The 20933-nt window shown below is 42.9% G+C and overlaps 1 protein-coding gene across 6 annotated transcripts in view, besides 3 other annotated features; it reads right to left on the reverse strand.

Moving 5' to 3' along the window:
* PIP4K2A (phosphatidylinositol-5-phosphate 4-kinase type 2 alpha) overlaps positions 1-20933 on the reverse strand; it is a 179725-nt gene that overhangs the window by 49632 nt on the left and 109160 nt on the right. For 5 of the 6 annotated variants that reach the window (NM_005028.5, NM_001330062.2, XM_017016330.2 and 2 more), the window contains exon 4: positions 7144-7296. The exons of the other annotated variant lie outside the window; for it this stretch is intronic. In NM_005028.5, coding sequence (NP_005019.2) covers positions 7144-7296 — 153 coding nt within the window. The remainder of the gene's footprint in view (positions 1-7143; positions 7297-20933) is intronic. 6 annotated transcript variants of the gene reach the window in all.
* Positions 14640-14689: an enhancer, noted in NCBI's record as "active region_3135". NCBI's record gives its function as "activates an Ori minimal core promoter by ATAC-STARR-seq in GM12878 lymphoblastoid cells {active_cell/tissue: GM12878}" and the evidence as "EXISTENCE:reporter gene assay evidence [ECO:0000049][PMID:35858748]".
* Positions 16991-17150: an enhancer, noted in NCBI's record as "active region_3136". NCBI's record gives its function as "activates an Ori minimal core promoter by ATAC-STARR-seq in GM12878 lymphoblastoid cells {active_cell/tissue: GM12878}" and the evidence as "EXISTENCE:reporter gene assay evidence [ECO:0000049][PMID:35858748]".
* Positions 20608-20757: an enhancer, noted in NCBI's record as "active region_3137". NCBI's record gives its function as "activates an Ori minimal core promoter by ATAC-STARR-seq in GM12878 lymphoblastoid cells {active_cell/tissue: GM12878}" and the evidence as "EXISTENCE:reporter gene assay evidence [ECO:0000049][PMID:35858748]".

Genomic DNA, 20933 nt, shown 5'->3' on the forward strand with positions numbered 1-20933 from the left:
GAAACAGAAGGGGAGAGGTGAGGCTGAAAGAGAAAAGGACTGCGGAACTTCCAGACCCTGGAGAAGAAGTACTGCAGGAAAAGCTTGCTGGGGAGTGTGCCGGGCAGCTCCCCATGAAACTAGGAGGAAATGGCTGAGGACATTGGGAACAGAGGGCTACAAATGACGCCATCGGCAAGCTTCGGGGCACTCATTGGGCCACAGGAACTCCCAAGATGACAAATACCTTCCCCTGTTTCTAAGAGAGAAGCAAGACGTGTCCGCAGTTTACAATGGCAGCAGAGGGTCTACTGGGAGCTTGTGTTTAGTCTCATAATCTGATACTTACACAGGACTGAGAATATCCAAGTACTTTCCAAATTTTAATTGATCACTCCTCCGGAAAAATGAACAAAAGGGCCCAAGAGCAGATTCAGAACTGAGTGCTCAGAATGTTCTGTTGTTCCAGAACACAGGAGCTGCCCTGTCACTCACCGGGGGCACATGAGCATCACCTGGGGGCCTGGTAGAAAGGCGGCCTCCACAGACTCCCCGACAGCCCCTCCAGACCCAGCCAGTCAGAGCCCTGATGAAAGTCTAAGAAGCACTGACACAATGTGGAACCTTTTCTCTTTTGGTGCTATAACCCTCTCCACTCTTTTTTGTATTTAGCTTTTATGGTCCCTATTTTCTCAGTTTTGCTCTACCGAAGTCTCATCCTTTGAATAGTAACACCAACGTCCCTAACCTTCGGGAAAGGATAAGCAGATGTACTATGAGGAGATTTCAAAGAAGTCACATGTTTGCCCTAAAATCCTTGAAATTTGAGGTGCTGATTAGCTTATTTAACAGGGAGTTCAGATTTTGGGGCAAAACTTCTGGATTCAACTAAAGATATTAATTGTTTCCCTAAATAAAAGGATAAGAAAGGAATTTAAGTCGTTTTTTATCAATTTTACCCATTTATCGATTCAGTCACTTTGAAATAAGAAAGTAAATTAAAATGCTGCATTTCAAAAGCTATTAAAATACTCAATAATATTTTCATAAGGTATTTCTTGATCACCTATATTGCAGCTTCCCTCGGGTTACATTCTAAGTCCTATACAACTTCAGGGAAGTATGTTACCAACAGTGCCTCTCAATTTTTTTTTTTTTTTTTGAGACAGAATCTCACCCAGGCTGGAGTGCAGTGATGCCATCTTGGCTCCCTGCAACTTCTGCCTCCTGAGTTCAAGGGATTCTCATGCCTTAGCCTCCTGAGCAGCTGGGACTACAGGCATACACCCCCAGCTAATTTTTTGTAGTTTTAGTAGAGACCGGATTTCACTGTGTTGGCTAGGCTGGTCTTGAACTCCTGGCCTCAAGTGATCCGTCCACCTCGGCCTCCCAAAGCACTGGGGTTACAGGCATGAGCCACTGTGTCCAGTCAATACTTTTCAATTTTAATTCAAGTTGAAGCTACATGATACCAAAGCTCCCAATGAATTCACGTCAGTGCGGGGAAAAAAAAAATTCAGTCGATTTAAGATAAAAAGATATTCAAGTAGGCAAATAGGTTTTTTACCATTTTTTCCTTTTTGAATGTTCTAACATTGTTTAGTTAATCAACTGATAATCATCATTTATAGGATCCGAGTTTCTTACAGCCTAACAGAAATGTGAAAAGGATATTTATAGCGAAACATTATTTTCCCAACTACAAGAGAAAATCAAATGAAGTAAACAAAATTTATGAAAGTTTGCTGTGCTTAATATGAATTCTCCATTGGTCTGAGAGATGATGCTCTTCTTTCTTTGCACAGAGTGAAAGCTAGGGTAGAATTTGGGCAGGAAATAAAGAATAGAGCAAGATACTGGAACTTGGGGGAAAAATCTAACTCCTCACGGCTGAAGTCTTCGTAATTCTGCATCAGTGCCACAGTCTACCAGAAACCAGGCCCCCTAGTGGATTAAAAGAGTTAAGGACTGAATGCCACATGAGAATGATTTCAACACTGAGGTGTAGGAAATTAAATACAAGAACGATATTTAATTAAAAATCTTATTCAGTCACTCATTTAGCACTTCTTTTTCTTTTTTTCGAAACGGAGTCTCGTTCTGTTACCCAGGCTGGAGTGCAGTGGCACAACCTCGGCTCACTGCAACCTCCACCTCCTGGGTTCAAGCGATTCTCATGCCTCAGCCTCCCGAGTAGCTGGGACTACAGGCACGTGCCATCATGCCTGGCTAATTTTTGTATTTTTAGTAGAGATGAGGTTTCACCATGTTGGTCAGGCTGGTCTTGAACCCCTGACCTCAGGTGATCCACCCACCTCGGCCTCCCAAAGTGCTGGGATTACAGACGTGAGCCACTGCGCCTGGCCCATTTAGCACTTCTTATATACTAGACACTGCTCTGAGCATGTTATAATATGAATTCACCTAATTAGCACAACACCCAAATGAAGAGGGTACTATTATCCAAATATTATAGACCAAGAGGTGTCAAAAGTATAAGTAAATTGCCCAAGGTCATGCCATTGGCCAGGGGCATGGCTGGGACCAGAAGGTGGCTGGCTGGCTCCAAGTCCTTGCTCTTGAACCACCTGCCATCCCAGATTGCTGGGAAGGTCAGTGTGTCAGAAAATTAAACCTAGGAAGAATTTATTCAAATATTCAAATAACTAGCCATGTTCTACTTCTCCAGAGGCTGGCCTTGGGCAATTTTAACCCTCCAGAATATAATTCCAACTGTGGCTGCATTTCCTTAAAACAAAAAACAACAAAGGAAAAGAAAAAAAAAAGGGCTGTTGGGTAACCAAAGTTGTCAGAAAGTCCATGCAATTCACTCCACGGGAGAAACCCTCTATGAGAGCCTCTCATCAACTGATATGCACCTGAACGATCTGCATTACTTGTCTAGATTCGGAAGGTTCAGAAGCCCAGAGAGTTCCAAGGCAAAAGCAACAACAAGCAAGAAGAAACAGAAGAAATGATGATCACTACTGAAGCTAGAGAGAGAAAGTTTCTTAGATACAAACCCTAAAAGTACTCTAGGCCCACAGAAAGTAGGAATGAAGGCCTGACATATACCTCAAATACCTCTGAGCATCTCAAACCACAGGGATAGAAACACAAAGCTTGACAGGCCTCCCTGGGTTTACCAATGACAGGCCTGTGTCCGGTCACACAGAATCACATGAGGACATGCCAGGCTGAGCCCACCACCCAGTAATATTCATCAAAATCTCGTCTGGAAGTGGCATACAAGAAGAACAGCCTGAAGAACATTCAAACAGAAGCCAGAATGGGAGAGGGCTAGGCAGCCGGTGTGCATTATAGCCTTTCTCTGTAGAACAGCATTTACTAAATGTAAACTACACACTGGTGTGGCCTTTGCTAATTGCTGCGGGTGTGATGTTTGACTCGGCGGACTGCATCTTCCTTCATGAACACCTGCCAACCTGAGCAGGGTCCCAGACCTGCCCTCAGTGAGCCTAGCAGGGGTCACCCCGAATAGATCAGTATCAAATAAGCTGTGTGAATGTTGAGACCTTTTATGAGGTTTCTGTGGAATTCTCTGATCATGTAATTAACACTGTTACTCTTCACTGCTGCTGTATTTTTAAAAACCTCTTCTATGTGAGATTTTGCTGAGATGTATATGAGTGGCATGTCCACCTTTAATGGTCAACGTTTGTGTCACCTATACATTTCCTTGTTCTTAATTTGCTTTCGTTTAAATGTAATTTAAAAATGGACAAATTAGCAAAACGGTGCTGCAACTGTGGCTGTATTTATACATGGCCTATACTGATAATTAGCAGCCTATACGGACAATTTTTTTTTAAGTTCTCTAACATTCTTGTATGTTTCTCAGCTTGTGGCAAGGATGTTGTTTTATCAGGTCAGATGTCCCTGTGTCCGCTCTGTGGGGAACTCCTTAGAGTCAACCCTGTTGCATCTTAGTACCAAGACCACTTACATTTCTCCTTGGCAACAGACTCAAAGTATCAAGCATGCTGGTCATCTTGGCATGAATATCTACGCTCATTCCAGGCTCCATTTTGTGCCTTTATCTTTCTGCCTCTTCCTTTTCTTTTTTTCATTTATTCTAGCTTGTATTTCCAACTTCTTTGAAGGCCACCTTAAATCCTTTCTGGAATAAGGTCAAGAGTGAATACATGAATAAATGAATGAATGAATGAAATGCAGGTGCAGAAGCTGAGTTCAGAGATCATCCAAGAGGCAGTTCCTAACAGGTTAGGATCTATGTCTCCTGACTTCTACTTAGTGCCCTTTAAATAATTTATATTAATAATGTGATTCCCAATCATTAAGACCCTACAAATTATATTTAAAATATTCTGTTTATAAAAAGAAAAAGTATAGATGTTGGATAAAGGAGACTTTTCTGAATAAAGAACTCACCAATAAGATAACAATTTTGTAGCAGTGGAACAGAAGGAAGTCTTTATACTGTTAAAGCCCCTGGGAGGTGTCAATAGACTTATTTTGATCCCACACTTATTTTATGTAACACTGGGGATATGTCAAATCCCTATGTTAGGTTACAATAACTAACCCAGAGAAAACATTTCAAATCGTGATTTTTGTAAAGTCAAAGGATGCTAAACTCAAAGTTGTCATCAAGAAGTTGGTACTTCAATTCTGTGTCACATTTTATTAGCATGGTATCATGGCCATTTTTTAGAACAATATGCTCTCATCAGTCATGAGATATCACTTCGCTTTGAATGTTCTGAGACAACTGAAAGAAAGTATAAAGAGAATGCATAAGTATGATATCAATTTCCAGAGGGGAAAAAATGAAAAAGTAGACAGTTTAAAAGGTGAAGAGTTCAAAGCTGCAACCTGTAATTCAATTCATTCAGATAACAGAGCCTCATGTCTTCCCCCTCACAGGTAGCATCCTGGCACTTTAAAATTTCCTGTAGAATAAGAGGCAGTAGCATAAGCAGTGTAGAACAAATTTCAAAAGGAATAGATATTATAAAAGATTTATTAGATATTAAATGAATTTAGAGGCTAATGATTTTAGAAAACAAACTAGAGGCAGTACCAAGTTTCAAGAAACAGAATATAGCTCAAAGATTTTTATAGACTTCACTGCAAGCAAAATGCAATTGATCATATTTGCAAAGATTGGAAGAATAAGCAACTGCCAAGAAAGAATCCATGATATTAGAGCATCATGCATGAACATAAAGTAATGCTTTTAAAGGGATGTTTAAACAGACATCTAGGAGCTCACAAGTCCAGGCCAGTGCTGCCTTCGAAGCAGATACTTAGTAAGTGTGATTGTTTATACTCGAGAATCCTTTTATTAATATATTCAGGACCTGCGGCACTTTATTTTGAATACCCATTGTGACAGCCAATTTTTACCTTTGGGGGATTGGGAGCTATTTAAGTTAAAAACACCGTGTGACTCTGCTATGAATGGAAAGTTTGTGTCCCCCAAAATGCTTACGTTGAAACCCTAATCCCCAAGTGATGGTATTAGGAGGTGGGACCTTTGAGAGCTAATTAGGTCATGAGCTTAGAGCCCTCATTATGTGATCAGTGCCCTTATTAGAAGTGACAGAAGAGTGCTTTTGATCCTATCCCACCCACCATGACCCTGCCAACACACGTGAGGCTACAGTGAGAAGCTGGCTGTCTGCAAACCAGGAAGAACCTGACCATACTGGCACCTTGATCTCAGACTTCAACCTCTAGAACTGTAAGAAATAGATTTCTGTCATTTAAGCTACCCAGTCTACGGTTTTTTATGACAGCTCAAGCTGACTAAGGTCCTAAAAGCAACAATGTGTGTATGTGTTTTAAACACCAGTTGTGAAGATGATTCCTGGGATGTTGCAACAGCAGACATGTTCATACCATATGACTACAATTTCTCCAAGTGACTTAGTTGTTACGTTATTTTTATACCATGGATGTTATCTTGATAATAGCGATGCTATGGCCACCACCACACATTGAGTATCTAGTGTGTGACAGACACTGTGCTAAGCACTTGACATGCAATTTCCTATTTAATCTTTAGAATCCATATTAGGTGTTATTATTATCCCGACTGTATAAACAAAGAAACTGTGGCTTCAAAATCCAGGCAGGGTGTGGAGGCTCACACCTGTAACCTTAGCACTTTGGGAGGCCAAGATGGGAGAACTGCTTGAGCCCAAGAGTTCAAGACCAGCCTGGGCAACATAGCAAAACTCCACCTCTATAAAAACACAACTTAAAAAAATTGGCCAGGCATGGTGGTGCATACCTGTGGTCCCAGCTACTTGGGAGGCTGGGGTGGGAGGACTGCTTGAGCCCAGGAGGTTGAGCATGCAGTGAGCTGTGATCACGCCACTGCACTTCAACCTGGCAACAGAGCAAGACCCTGTCTCTAAAAAACAACCAAGACCAGAAGTCACATGCTTAGTAAGCGACCTGGCTGGGATTTGAGCCCAGGATTGTCCAACGCTGGACTTCATGCTCTTATACTCCATGGTGAAGGAGGCCTCTCACAGCGCGGGCTGGGCCTTGGGAACATGTGCTCTACCAGAGAAGCTTGTGCTGGAATTTACTCCAGGAGAGACAGATTGCTGCTCCCAAGGATGGTCTACTTTACCTCCAGTGATTACAATGGAATTATGCTCGGGGATGAAAAGGGGGCAAGAAGCAGACCAACACCCACCTTCTAAAATCAGAGAGCTTGCTCCGTAGCAGATTGTGAATGGCGTGGGCCCTGCTGGGGCCAGGACAGAAGAACCAGTGACAGCAAAATAGGATTCGGAGGTGTAAATAGATACATACTCAGAGGTCAACACCTAATCTCTGGCACAGGCAAAAACTTCTGCAAAGTTGCCAAATCTTAAGCTGAATGATTTTAAAATCAGAGTAGTGATAACTGAAACTATTACACAAGAGTATTTAGGTTAAAAGTGTTATACAAATAATGAATGACCTTTATAGCACAAGCATGCCTAAAGGTTAACTGCCAGGAATCTGGCCACTGTAATTTTAGAACACAGGGTTAGAGGAGATGTTTATGTGAAATGTGTTCTTCTTGTTCTCTAACTATATATTTAAATCTCTGGCCTTGGTGAGAAATCGCTACGCATGTTAATCTTCTTGGAGTTTCAAATAAAGATCAAGAAAAATTACCTGGTGGTATTTCTTCAGGATGTTGTGCATTTCGGCCACGTCTTCACTGGTAATAGTCTTGATGATGTATCTTTTGTCGTAGGAAGTGTGAAAACGAGCTCCACTGCGGGCCTGGGAGTCGTTGGGGAGGGGTGCGCTCCTGGTCAGGGAATTCTTCCCGGGTGGGGTAAGAGGGGAAGGAAGGCGGGGGAAGATAACTAGTTAAAGGTGTGGCTTTCCGATTCCCAGATAATTTGTCATCATTGCAAGTTTTCAAAAACATTTGTGTGTGGGATAAATTGATAAGTAGGATGACAACATTTTTACATGCATCATAACTCACATTGCAAGCCTTTCAGATGAAATGAAAACAGCTTGAATTGTACTATGATTCTAATATCTTTAAAGCAGGCTAATGTCTAGAATTATAATCAAAGTAACTTTAATCACTTAGTTCTTTTCAGAGTTGGACAAGCTCTCAAAGTTTTCTTCTGAATAAAATTAGGTTCCAGTCATAAAAGAAAATTTTACAGTCACTGAGCATTTCCTTATATGACAGGTATCGTGCCAAGCATTTTGCACAGATTATTTCCCCCAATTCTGATAACATTCCCATGCAATGGTTACGATTGCTATCATCACTATTTTACAGATGAGGAGATGGGAATAAGAGAGGCTTAGTATCTGGGCAAAGGGCATATAGCTAATAAGGGAAGAGCTAGAATTCTGACTCCAGTGTGGCTGGCTCAGAATCCAAACTCTCAACTAGTAAACTACTCAACTAGTAAAGTACTTAACTTGCAGACTATGCTACCTGTGTGCCCCAGGAGGAGGAGGCAGGAGCCTGGGAGAGTGTCTTCTAAAACAGCTCCTCCTTAGGCGATTTGAATTTGGTCCATCCTCCACTCCCTACCACCATTTTTGAGAACTACTGATCTCCTGGAGGGTGGACAAGGACGGGCTCTGAGTAGGGGCTCTGCTGACATCATTCACTCCAAGATCTGGTTCATGCTAGTGACACTGGCTAGGTAGGTCTACCCTTCTCCTCCCATGTGACTCTTCCGTTCAGATCTCCTCTTTCTTACATCCTCCAAGAAGCCTCCTCCTTGCCCCAACCTCTTGACAATGGCCGTCCAGCCATGGGGTCTAGCAAACCCCTGGCCCCCAGAAAGTCTCGTCTCCATCCTTGCCGACTGCTCCTGAGCAGTGACTTTCACTCCTTGCCTGGCCCTGCGGGATGGCCTGTGTGGGATTCAAAGGCAAACATGCTTTCTCTCTTTAACTTGCTCTCTGAAGTGGGCATTCAAAGGCCTCAGTGGCCAAATGCTGTCAAGTTAAGGGAACACAGATACCTTCAGAGGGGCAGGTGATAGATAGCTCTGCCCATGAATTTGCAAAAGAAAGAGTGCCTTTCTGTCTAGTATATTCCAGTCTCTTTATCCTTTCCTTCCTTTCTAGATGAAATCAACAGGACTGAACCACCTGAGGTAGAATCCATTGCAGCAGTGCAGGGGTTTACGCAGGCCCTACCTATGCCTGAAGAGAAAAGTGGCCCATGAGCAAATCTTCATCTTCCAGGATTCTCACCTCACCACCCTGGCACCCCCTGTGGTGGATCACACGTTCTGCAATAGCACACCTTGATCTGAAGGCAAGCAGGCGCACCTGCCAGATGCAGAGTCCAGGCCACCAAGTAACTGAATTTGCTTTCCTTAGCTTATTAGAAAACTTGAGAGAAGGAAAAAAAAAAATCTACATAATCCCCAATGACTTTAAATAGCAAGACTTGGCAGTGTTCAGTTATTCTTAAGACAACTAAAATTTATTAGATAGACTGAGAATGATAAAAATGACTTTCAGGATGAAAATGCCTACATTAACAAGAGTTTAATTCTTAATTACATTTTTCTTTCCTAAAACATGAACAAGATCTCCTTTATACTACTTCCCACTTAGAACAAAAAGGAAGAAAATCAAAGTGAATTTCCCCTTGTGGGGTTTTAAATGCTAGCCCCCAAAAAGCAATTATTGCTCTTTGTTAGTGGTCTTACTTTTTTCTTGCAATCACTAATTTGCAAAAGGGTATTTCTTTCAAATAAAACAAGAACTCTAGGAACTGTAAGATTGCAGATTATCTTTGGGCATAAAATCAAAGTGGGAACAATCAAGTTTATGAAAGCCAGGTGGAGCAGACCAAGTGGAACAGACCTTAAACTCTGTCAAACTGACAATACGTGTAAAACAACTTTTGGGGGATGGGGAATAGTAAAGGAGAACTGTATTCAGCACAGGATAGAATTCCAGCAGCCTCAGTTTCATAGATCGTTTTCTTATGCACATTAGATAGGACAGTATAACGTCCTCTCATGGGCCAATAGGGTGAATCAAAAGCTGCATAGTCAGTGCATCTCAAACTTAACAAGCAACTGAATCACCCAGGGATCATGTGAAAATGCAGATTCTGATCCAGCAGGTCAGGGGTGGGGCATTTTCAGAAGTAGATGCTGCTGCTGGAGTGGGTCTGCAGACCACACATGAGAACCAAGGTCTACAGAATGGTGTTTACCCTGTGTTTTACTGGCATGCAGCACGTAAAGTCTAGCGTATTAAGTACATTATAATTACAGACTTACCGGCACTCATGCCTTTCCCATTATATTCTCTACACCTCTAGTTCGATTAAAATGGGAAACTTTATAGTTCAGAATAATAATTCATGGCATTTACTTTACTAATTAAAGAAGGGTTTAATAATACTATGTACCAGTACCAGGACAATGTACAGGGTTTTTTATTTTTATTTTTTGAGACAGGTTCTCACTGTGTTGCCCAGGCTGGAGTACAGTGGTGCGATCTTGGCTCACTGCAGCCTTGATCTCCTGGACTCAAGTGATTCTCGTGCCTCTGCCTCCTGAGTAGCTGGGATTATAGGCATGTGCCACCATGCCCAGCTAATTTTTTTATTTTTAATAGAGACAGGGTTTTGCCATTCTGGCCAGGGTGATCTCGAACTCCTGGCCTCAAGTGATCTATCTGCCTGCCTTGGCCTCCCAAAGTGCTGGGATTACAGGCATGAGCCACCATGCCCAGCGCAACATATGGGTTTATAAAGGGCTGGAAACGTAAAAGCAAATAATGTAGGAACTCCTTAGCTCAGATACTACCTCTTCCCCAGTTTGTGCCTTTTCTTTCAATTTCAAAGGCATTACTATAATCATATATGCAGACACTGGATTAGGATATCAGCCATGTCTTCACCCTGGGATATAAAACCTTAAAAATTCGAATCTTGATTCTGTCTCAAATCACCATTTTAATAATCCACGTGAGTAGCCCCAACCCACACTATCTGAATATTTTTAAGGTTCATGAACATGAAATAACCAATGAAGTTAGGAACACTGTGTCAAAACATAGAATGTACCTTTCATATCACTATGAATATAAAAATACATAAATCAAGTGTATTAAAAGCCTTATCTGATAAGGAGGAAATCAAAAGAGTTCATGCAATTCTATACAAAACACCTGATCCTTGGAATGATTCTAAGGCCTGGAAAAATCCAACTCATTATTTCATATTTATTTTCACAATATTCCTGTGAGAGAGGAAAAGCTAGATCCATTTTTCCCACCTCAAGATAAAGAAACTAGTGTACAATGGAGCCAAGCAATGTGCCTAAGATTCCTGTCTAAAGCTTTCTATGAACTAACCAAAAAGGGCGATTTACAAAGATAAGACTAAACTTCTGTCATCATAATCATAGACTTTTTGTAGCCTTTAAAATAAAGTAAAATTGTTTATGTATTTTTATTATCATTTACTTTCTTGCCTTCTTCCAAGGCATGCAGCAGACATGTGTTTTTAAAGGCAGCACAGTGGCTCATGCCTGTAGTCTCAGCGCTTTGGGGGCTGAGGTGGGCGGATCACTTGAGGCCAGGAGTTCGAGACCAGCCTGGGCAACGTGGTGAAACCCGGTCTCCACTAAAAATACAAAAATCAGCCAGGTGTGGTGGTGCATGCCTGTAATTCCAGCTACTTGGGAGGCTGAGGCACGAGAATTGTTTGAACCTGGGAGGCAGAGATTGCAATGAGCCGAGATCACACCACCGCACTCCAACCTGAGCAGCACAGGGTAATGGTGAGGGCACTGGTCTGAGATCTAGAACATTCATCAGTTCTTGTAGATTGCATTTAGTCTCTTTGAGCCTTAGTTTCCGGGTCTATGAAGTGATGGAAAATAAGCTTGGGGAGAGAACAGGCTGAATTAGACCTCTACCTTGGATCTTTTATGACTCTAAAAATGGATTTACTCAGCCGGGCGCAGTGGGGCACGCCTGTAATCCCAGCACTTTGGGAGGCCAAGGCGGGCAGATCACCTGAGGCTGGGAGTTCGAGACTAGCCTGACCAACATGGAGAAGCCCCGTCTCTACTAAAAATACAAAATTATGCAGGCGTGGTGGGGCATGCCTGTAATCCCAGCTACTCGGGAGGCTGAGGCAGGAGAATCGCTTGAACCTGGGAGGCGGAGGCTGCAGTGAGCTGAGATTGTGCCATTGCACTCCAGCCTGGGCAACAAGAGCAAAACTCCGTCTCAAAAAAAAAAAAAAAAAAAAGGATTTACTCGAAGACTCGACTCGTTGCTCTAGGAAATGCTGTAAAGCATGGGCCTCGGAAGGTGACTCAGGACAACCGTCCCAAGAAACAGAGTCCGATCAGAAGACAGTACAACCATCATCTCAGCAGGGGCCTAATGATGGTTTAGGACACCTGGGCTGAGATGAAAGAGAACATGCAGTGAAAATAACACTTCACAGATTCCAGATGTATTCAGGACAACGTCAGCTAGAACGAGCACATGAGCTCAGGGAAGGAGGTCTTATATCTTCAACACAGTCACTGTGCTGCCTCAAAACAGTCTATCTACTGACACTGAATAAGAAACTCCTCAGTGTGCTTTGTTTTGTTGCAAAGGAAAAAGGAATCACAGCATGATGTTGGATGCTTGGACAAGTTGGGAGGCCCTTGATGGAAACAGAGCTTGGGAGTGACCTTCAGGTGCCCCCGAGGGGTCCCTCCATGTATAAATAAACCTCAAAGAGCATTAGAGTTGGAAGCAACCTTGGAGATGATTCCAAACCACTCAATATACAGATAAGAAAACAGACCCAGAGAGCAGAAATGACTTGCCCAACTCAGTTCTCCAACATCAGGTGGGCTGGTGTACATGGAGGGCCCTGCAGGGGCCCTGCCCAGAGCCTCCATCTCCCCCTGCCGTGCTGCTTCCCTGCCTGGGCTCCAGAGTATGGTGGGCATTATGAAGGGACAGTCATTTTTCTATAGTGACATACACCTTCTAATGCCAATTTAGAGTGTGAGCCAGCTGGCACAAAACCAAACCTGTCTTCAGGTTTTCGATTTTGCCAAGTAAAGTGTGTAGAAAATATCAGTAACAGCCACAGTGCTAATGCAGTCCGGAGTCTGTTATTTACACTTTTATTAACATGTGTACAAAGCTATCTGAACTCATTCTAGGACTGTTCATTACTTTACATTAACTGAGTAGGAAGAGTAGGAGCTGTCTTCTCTCCACGCAGGAGCTGAGACAGATGTGTTTGTGGAATAAGCCTTTGGGACAGGAAGACCGTGCTGCTGAGCCCTGGGCCCAGAGTCAGGCACTCACACAGCGTAACACAGGGCTGAAGGAGGACCAGCACTTAGCATTTCCTGTGAGTCCTGTTGACTGTGGTGACGATGTCAACCCTAAGAATTCTTCACATTTCTGACCATGTGGCACACTGCATCATGTCTATTTAAATTAGTTTATGTGGTCTGAGAATTGTCGGAGGTTCTTGTTTTCCTCCTGTCACTGGTTTCTGCCTTTAGAAGACTGTCCCATCCACTTTCTCTGCTTACAACTCCACAGATTTTCTTCACAAAGAATGCCAAAGTTGAAAGGAGCAATCTTTTATACTGGGAGTGCTGAATTCTGGGTTACTCTATATTCTATATGCACTCTCTATACTACTAAGCTGGGAGGATTAAAAAAAACGAGAAGGGAAAAAAAGAAATTAAGATGAAATTTGCAAGTTAAGACCAGCTCTGCATGGAAAAAAAAAAAGCCTAGCAGAAGACACCATTTAGAAAAATTCTTTCTCTTCTCAATCACCTAATTTAAAAGGGCAAATCTGAGATGAAGCTGATCCTACCTAAGGCCTTAAAAACACCCTTTAGAGGGCTGGTTTAGTCCTCTTCATCTCCAAAGTAAAATATTCACTTTCTGGAACACTTACCCTTATCTACCTGTCTGTCTTCAGGAGAAAGCAGCCAGATAAAATTACCCAGTGAAATCCACCCAGGCTTTGGAGAGATCTACTCTCATTAAAAATCAAATTCCTTGTCATGGACACACTTGGAGAGTTATATGGTCTGCAATAAAGTGACATTATTTAAATTCAAAATTGGGGGCTGGGCACAGTGGCTAATGCCTGTAATCCTAGCACTTTTGGAGGCTGAGGTGGGAAGATCACTTGAGGCCAGGAGTTTGGGACCAGCCTGGGCAGCATAGTAAGGCTCTGTGTCTACATAGCATTAAAAAATTAGCCGGATGTGGTGGTGCGTGCCTGTAGTTCTAGCTATAAGGAAGGCTGAGGTTGGAGGATCACTTGAGCTGAGGAGTTCGAGGCTGCAGCGAGCCATGATTGTACCACTGCACTCCAGCCTAGTTGACAGACAGAGACTCTGTTAAAAAATAAAAACAAACAGACAAAATTGGGGATTCTGCACCTATCAGTTCAAAAGTGACAGTAAGTTATTTCCTAAAGGCCTCAATAATAACTTACATGTTAAAAGGAGAATTTAAAATTTCACAAGGAAGTTTCAGATTGAAAATTCCCAGCCCACAAGGTCTTCCTTCTATTGCTGGCCCCTGCTCACTTCCCTGTGACCTCTCAAACCAGACATGGGCAAAGGACATAGATGACGACAAAACAGAATGGACCCAGGAAGCAGCCTCAGAGTGTCAGGGTGATCCATCTCAACAGCAATGGGCTGAAGTCAGGGCTTTGCGTCCTCCCTCCAACTCACCCTTCCCACCTCCCTTACTCTGTTATCTGATTATCTGCAAAGAAAGACAGCTGGACTTAATGGTCTCTAAGCTTCCTGCTCATTCTTCTAATTATTATTCTGCTGTCAGTTTGTAGAGACTTAGGGAATGGACGATGATTTACTATTAGTTTATGGGAAAAAAATCTAATAATCAACATGCACAAACTGCAAAAATACACTTTCTTCATTGGCTATTCCTTTTCTTCTTTCTATACATTTGATAGTTTCATATTATAAATTACGAAATTAGTTAAAGTCACCTGTTCTAAATAAAAATACTGATACCATAACCCATCCCAAAAAAACAACAACAGCCAAAATCAACTTTGGGAAAAACTGTCTCTTATCGAATAAATTAAACTAGTTTCAACCTTTTGGGAAAAAAACGTCTCTTACTGAATAAATTAAACGAGTTTCAAACTCCAAGCATTCTTCTTCCTTGAGATATGACTCACATATCATATGACTCACCTATTTAAAGTATACAACTCAACAGTTTTTAATGTTTTCACCAAATCATGCAACCATGACCACAATCATTTTTAGAGCATTTTCATGACTCCAAAAAGAAACCTGAACCTATCTGCAATCACTCCCATTCCTTCCCCTATCCCCCAGCCTAGAAAGGCCACTGATCTTTGTCTCTATATATCTGCCCATTCTGGACATTTCATATGGATGTAACCATACATTACACAGGTGTTTGTGACTGGCCCAAACATTGATCTTTCAAGTGCCCTAGCCTAGACACACTCATCCACCATGAGGCTGTCTCTGGATGAGTGAGGTGACCTGGCAAGTGCTCTCTACTCAGGCCAGCACCCATACACGATTGCAGTGGACACATCACAGCCAATAAATGTTGCTTCTAAGTTTGCTCCTAGCATAGGGAGCTAGAGAAAAACGAACAGTTGGACAAACATTCAAGTTCTAGGGCAAAGCTGTATGATGCAGGGCAGGTAAGAGTATGACAATTTAGTTCATTTTCGCCTATTTTGCAACGTGGTGAATAAATGTACTTTTCCCATAGCCAAATACCTTTCCTACCTTACACTATCCTAGCTCAAACCACAAAAGCTGTTTGAGGCTCTGGTGCTATCTCGGTCCTCTCAACAGCAAATAAAGGAAGGCAATGATAGATGAAGCTCCCTCTGTAATGCCTTTTTACATTTATAACTGGAAATTTATTGTCCTTTCCCTTAAGAAAAGGATTAACGATGCTGTCCTTTCCCCCTTCCTCTAAACGTCTGCGCTGAAGATGTTTATTTCCGCAGTCGGAGGTCCAGGATTAGTGGAGCCCCCAGAAGGGGGAAGGAAACATAAATGTCAATTTAATTAGCTCATTCTTACCGCCAATCTTTTCTCTCTCTCATAAAAGTGTCCTCATTTAGTAACAGTTACTTTTCCCTGCATTTTTTAAACAACCAAGCATTTTGCATATTTAATTCTCTTGAACTAATCACGTAAGTCTTGTATAATTTGTTTTTTTTTTCCATTTTGATGGTCGTTTGTATACATTCTGCTAAAAATCATGTATGAAAAGTTTTCATTTTTGGTTGAAAGAGGGGCCACTTAAACTTTGCCATGCTCAAATGTGTAAAGCCACCCTCGTATAAGGGAACATGCCAATACCGTGCAGAACTCACGTGACAGCCATCTCCTCACGGTGGCACAGTAATAGATTTAGAGACCTGACAGCTGGGGGGCCGGAGAGAGCACTGTGTCCCTCTCCTCATGTTATGGATGAGGAAACTGAGACCCACCAGGGGTGAGTGAGTATCTCATGGTCACAGCATCAGTCACTGAAGATCCAAGACTCAACCAGGCCTCCTAACTTCCCGGAAATATTCTTTTCCCCAACCCTGGCTACCTGTTTCATGGACTGGAAATCTGGAAACCAATCACTGCCCTGCTGACAGCTCAGGATTATGATTACATGCCTCGAATCACACGGCCCAGGAGACAGGAGCAACTTGTCTGGAGAAGGCTGCTTTCTGGGTCTGCAGTTGACATATCTGAGCGAGCACAGATGGTCCTCTGACCCCGCCAGAGAGTTGAAGACCAATGTGGAACTTGAACATCATCATCAAGGATTTATTAAATGCCCACTGTGTTCAAAGCCCTGTGTTAAGCTCTTGGGGAATTTCAAAGAAAATCTAAGCTGTGATCTCAAGTGAAGAATAGCTTTCATTATAGAGGGGAGCAAGACACAGTGCAATTTAACACTTATCAATAATGAAACAACTTATCAGAAAAAAAGAATATAAAAATGAAAGGCAATGACCAACAGAGAAAGCAACAGAGTTGCAGAAACTTCACAGAGTGCCATGAGATCATCTTCTAAATCTCAGCTGCTGTTTCACGATGATTAAAACACCAGGGACCCAGCCTGGGCAACAGAGCGAGACTGTCTCAAAAAAAAAAAAAAAAAAAAAAAAAAAAAAAAACAAACCAGGAACATGTCCCCAAGGCTCACGGTAAACACAGCGTTTAACCTGGAGAGAAGCACCCAGTAGCAAGGATGACTGGCTGTCAGCTCTCTGTCAAAAGCCACGAGGCAAAACCCAAAGCAGGTTTGAGGCGGGAAACACAGGCTAACAGGAAGCCTGGGGTCCCAGGTGGGGGCAGGTGGTGGTAGGAACAGTAATTTGCTCAGTTCATAAACAGGACTTGAAACAGTGCAAGAAATGCCTGCTGACCCTGATGGGCTGTGAGGGAGCTTCCCCCAGTCTATCAAGAGGCTGTCCAATCAGAGAGGGGCCTCCCTTGGGTCTCAGCCTCAGTGCGTCTCTGAGCAGGGTGGAGTTTCCTTCCAGGGCAGCTAACCTGTGAGGACAAATGGAGCAAACCCAACAGGCAACTACTAGTGATAAAGGAATGACAGTGCTTAGGCATTAGAGGAGCAAGCACAGGGGTGATGGTGTAGGTTGAGCATTAGAGTTGGACCAAGGAGGAGTCCCACAAGCACGACTGTGCCAATCCTCACCACAGCTGGACCTCTGCTCCAACCTCATTCAGAGTTGTGACCCAGAATGCCCAATGCAGGCCACAAGCCTCACCAGGTATCCTACCACTACGGTAAGTCAACAGGTCAAAAACTCAACTCCATCTTCCTTTCTATCCACCTGTAGCCCCAAACATCCCTCCCTCTGTGACCCGCATCCCTGCTCTCTTAGCTTTCAGGTCCCAGTGCCTCTGTGGCTCTTGTCCTTTGCCACTGGCCACTGAACCTGTGGGTTTACTTCTCTCAATGTCTTTTCAAGCTGCTCCGTGCTTTACATGGTGGGTGACGGAGGCTTGGCTCACTGGGATTTCATGGCCTCCTGATTTCCTTATCTCCCTTCTATGCATTCTATAAATTACAATGCAGTTATCTTTAGAAAATACAGACCTCGGGTGGGTGCAGTGGCTCACATCTGTAATCCCAGTACTTTGGGAGGCTAAGGTGGGTGGATCGCTTGAGCCCAGGAGTTCGAGACCAGCCTGGGCAACATGGCAAAACCCTGTGTCTTCAAAAATTACAAAACTTAGCTGGGCATAGTGGCACATACCTGTAGTCCCAGGTACTCAGGGGGCTGAAGTGGCAGGATCGATTGAGCCCAGGAGTTGGGAGGCTGCAGTGAGCCAAGATTGTGCCACTGTACTCCAGCCTGGGCAACAGAGTGAAACTCTGTCTATAAAAAAAAAAAAAGAAAAGAAAAGAAAAGAAAGAAAGAAAAAGAAAAAAGAAAAGAAAAGAAAATACAGATGTCATGACATTGCCATTCCCCTGAGCAAAACCCACAGGGCTGCTCGCTGGCAGCAGAATCGGCCCAGTGTCCCTGGTGTCTTTGTGTTTCTTGCTATTTTAACATCTTTATCTCCCACTATTCTGCCACCATCCAAATACCTTCACATTTCATGGGCTCTCCTGCCTTCCGCTTGGGCCCAGAGAGTTCACTTCTCTTCAAAGTCCCCATTAGCCCTCACTCTCTTTCACAAGTATTTCTTATTTACTTATTTATTTTTCATGTTTTTAGAGATGGTGTCTCACTGTGTTGCCCAGGCTGGTCTCGAACTCCTGGGCTCAAGAGATCCTCCTGCACTGGCCACCTGAGTAGCTGGGATTACAGGTGTGGCCACTGTCCTGACTGCAAATATTTCTTAAGTGCCTGCTGAGCCCAGCATTGTGCTCAACGGGTGACAGGCAGCCAGCAAACACAAACACTGCTCCTGCCCTCAGGCAGTTTAAAGTCAAAAGTGAGAAATCTACAAGTGAAAGTTTCAGAGGATAGACTTGATATTCTAGAGATAAAGGCAGAATTCCTGCTGCCCCACTTCAAGTTTAGTATACACTGAAGGTCTTAACACTTTAGAATTTTATTTCTAAACTTGAAATAAGAATATCAAAAGTTTAAAATGTTAGCTCTTAAAATTAATTATTTTAAAATTAGAATTCTCTGTTACAAACACAAAGAAGAAAGGGCATCAGATGTCAATAATGAGGGATTCTAATTCAGGAGTCACAGTAGGGGAAAAGCAAACCTGGTATTATCCTCCACAGTGAACAAGAGGCCTCACTTTCAAATGTGTGGTCTATTTAGGTTTAACAGCATCAGCTCCCTCCTGCATAACTTTTTGGTTTCTGGGAGGCAACCCTCTCTGGCAGCTACTAAATGTAACTGAAGCCTCCGTTTGACTTCCCAGGGCTGTTTAATGTTCTTCATGAAAATCTGCACCCCTCTTTCCAGTCTCTCTGGGTATAAACATAAGAGACGATCAAATGAGTATAAGAGACTGGAAAGAGGGGTGCAGATTTTCATGAAGAACATTACAAATCAAGATGCTGGGTTTCTGTAAATCTCGTTAGCATCTAATACAGAATCTGGTATGCAATAGTTTTTAAAGAAAGTGATGCTTCACCCTTTCTTCTCTCTGCATTCCCTAAAACGGCTAGCACAGAGCCTGACATGTGGTAGGTACAAACAAATACTTTGACTGGATAATTATGCATGAAATCCCAGACCTCAGGGTGATCAGGGCTTAAGGGGGCAGTGGTAATGGTAGACACAGGACTGCGGCTATAGTCACAGAACAGGCCTCCCAGGCAGCATTCATCCTGAAACACACCTTTAAAGTATGACGATGGATATCATGCTGGCCAAACAATGATCAGAACCTTGATGACACACTGATTCAACCCTGAGCATATTACAAACCTATCATGCAATTTAAAAATGCCCTAATGAATTGGAAAAAGTTCTGAATCTAGAAGCACTGGTTACACACATGCGCGAGCACACACGCGCGCACGCACACACACACACACACACACACACACAGAGGTTTACATATGTATGTTACATGGTACTGTGGTACTGTTATTAACAATGGATATTCTAGAATTGTTCTTTGAATTTGTCTTTAACAACAAGGAAAAGTCATTTTTAAAAGATATTCCAGAAATCAAAACCAGAGGAAAGATACAAATGTTTACTGAGAAAGCAGGAATGTTTTCATTTTTCATTTCATTATCCTTTTCATTTATCTTAAAAACTTTTTAAGAAGTTTAAATTCACCAGTAGGGGTCAACTGCATAGGTTACTACTTAACCATGCTCTGCTTTAATCAGAGTGGTCTCCACAGACCAATACCTACTTTTTTCAGGTGTAGCAAAAAGGTGGTCACACAAACAAGACAAGTCGGGACCATTTACCCACTTGGCTGAATGGAAAGGTCTGAATACGAGATAAACCAGACGATGGAGCCCCTAACCACCACATTGATTTAGAGCCGCTTGTCCAAAATGCAAGCAGTTTGGAAAAATAAACACAGCAGGCAATGCCTGTTCCCCTTCAGCTATCCAGTGTCCTCCAAAACACTATGAGAGCCTAGGTCACTGATCCTACTTTCCAAGTCAGTTGGGAAAGAGTATTCAAAAAGCAGCTCACATTGATAAGCTCAGAAAGAGAGTTGGTTTTTTTCCGATATACGCAGTCTTCAGCAGCCAGTACCCAGGAGTGACAGAGGCGGCCGGTGGGAGACTCTACTCAGCAAAGGCACATTGGCAAGCTCCAGGAGAGGAAAACAAGGTTGCTTTTAGTCATTTGGCGCCACATGTGCCAAATGATACCTGTTACTTGAACTGGGCATGAGGATTGAACTGTCTGGGCAGTAACAATGTGCCAGGCAGCTGAAGCCCCAGGTCCTGGCCCCTGCCCGCCTGCCGCCTGAATCCCTGCAGTATACAGGGGCCTGCGAGGTGACCCTGGAGCCAGAGCTGTCACAACGACCCTCCTTTCTTCCAAACCAAGTAGCCAAAAGACTGGGATACAGCCCCAGATTTACGATCCTGTTTTCAGCTGGAACTCAGGGTCCCTGACCCTACTGAAGAATTTTAAGAGGTACAGACACTGGGAAAGAAATATACGACTGAGGAGGGAAGAAGAGTATACCTCTGCAGTACTGAAGTGACTCTGAATACACACTTTTTCTTTCTTTTTTTTCTTTTTTTAATAGAAATACAGTTGCCAAAGAGAAAGCAGCAGGCAGAGCTAAGGAAAGGAGGAGTGTTCGAATGATTAATCACACTCACACCACTCTCCCCAACAGGGAGCTCTCATGTGAAGAGTTTAACGGACTTGCCAATTAGTTACTTGTGAATCATCCTCCACTTGCCTAATTTTCTTTCAAAGTTTGTACTCAGCAATTTGTACTGACTTC

This window comes from Homo sapiens, chromosome 10 (assembly GCF_000001405.40).
Source record: "Homo sapiens chromosome 10, GRCh38.p14 Primary Assembly".
NCBI classification, from domain to species: domain Eukaryota; kingdom Metazoa; phylum Chordata; class Mammalia; order Primates; family Hominidae; genus Homo; species Homo sapiens.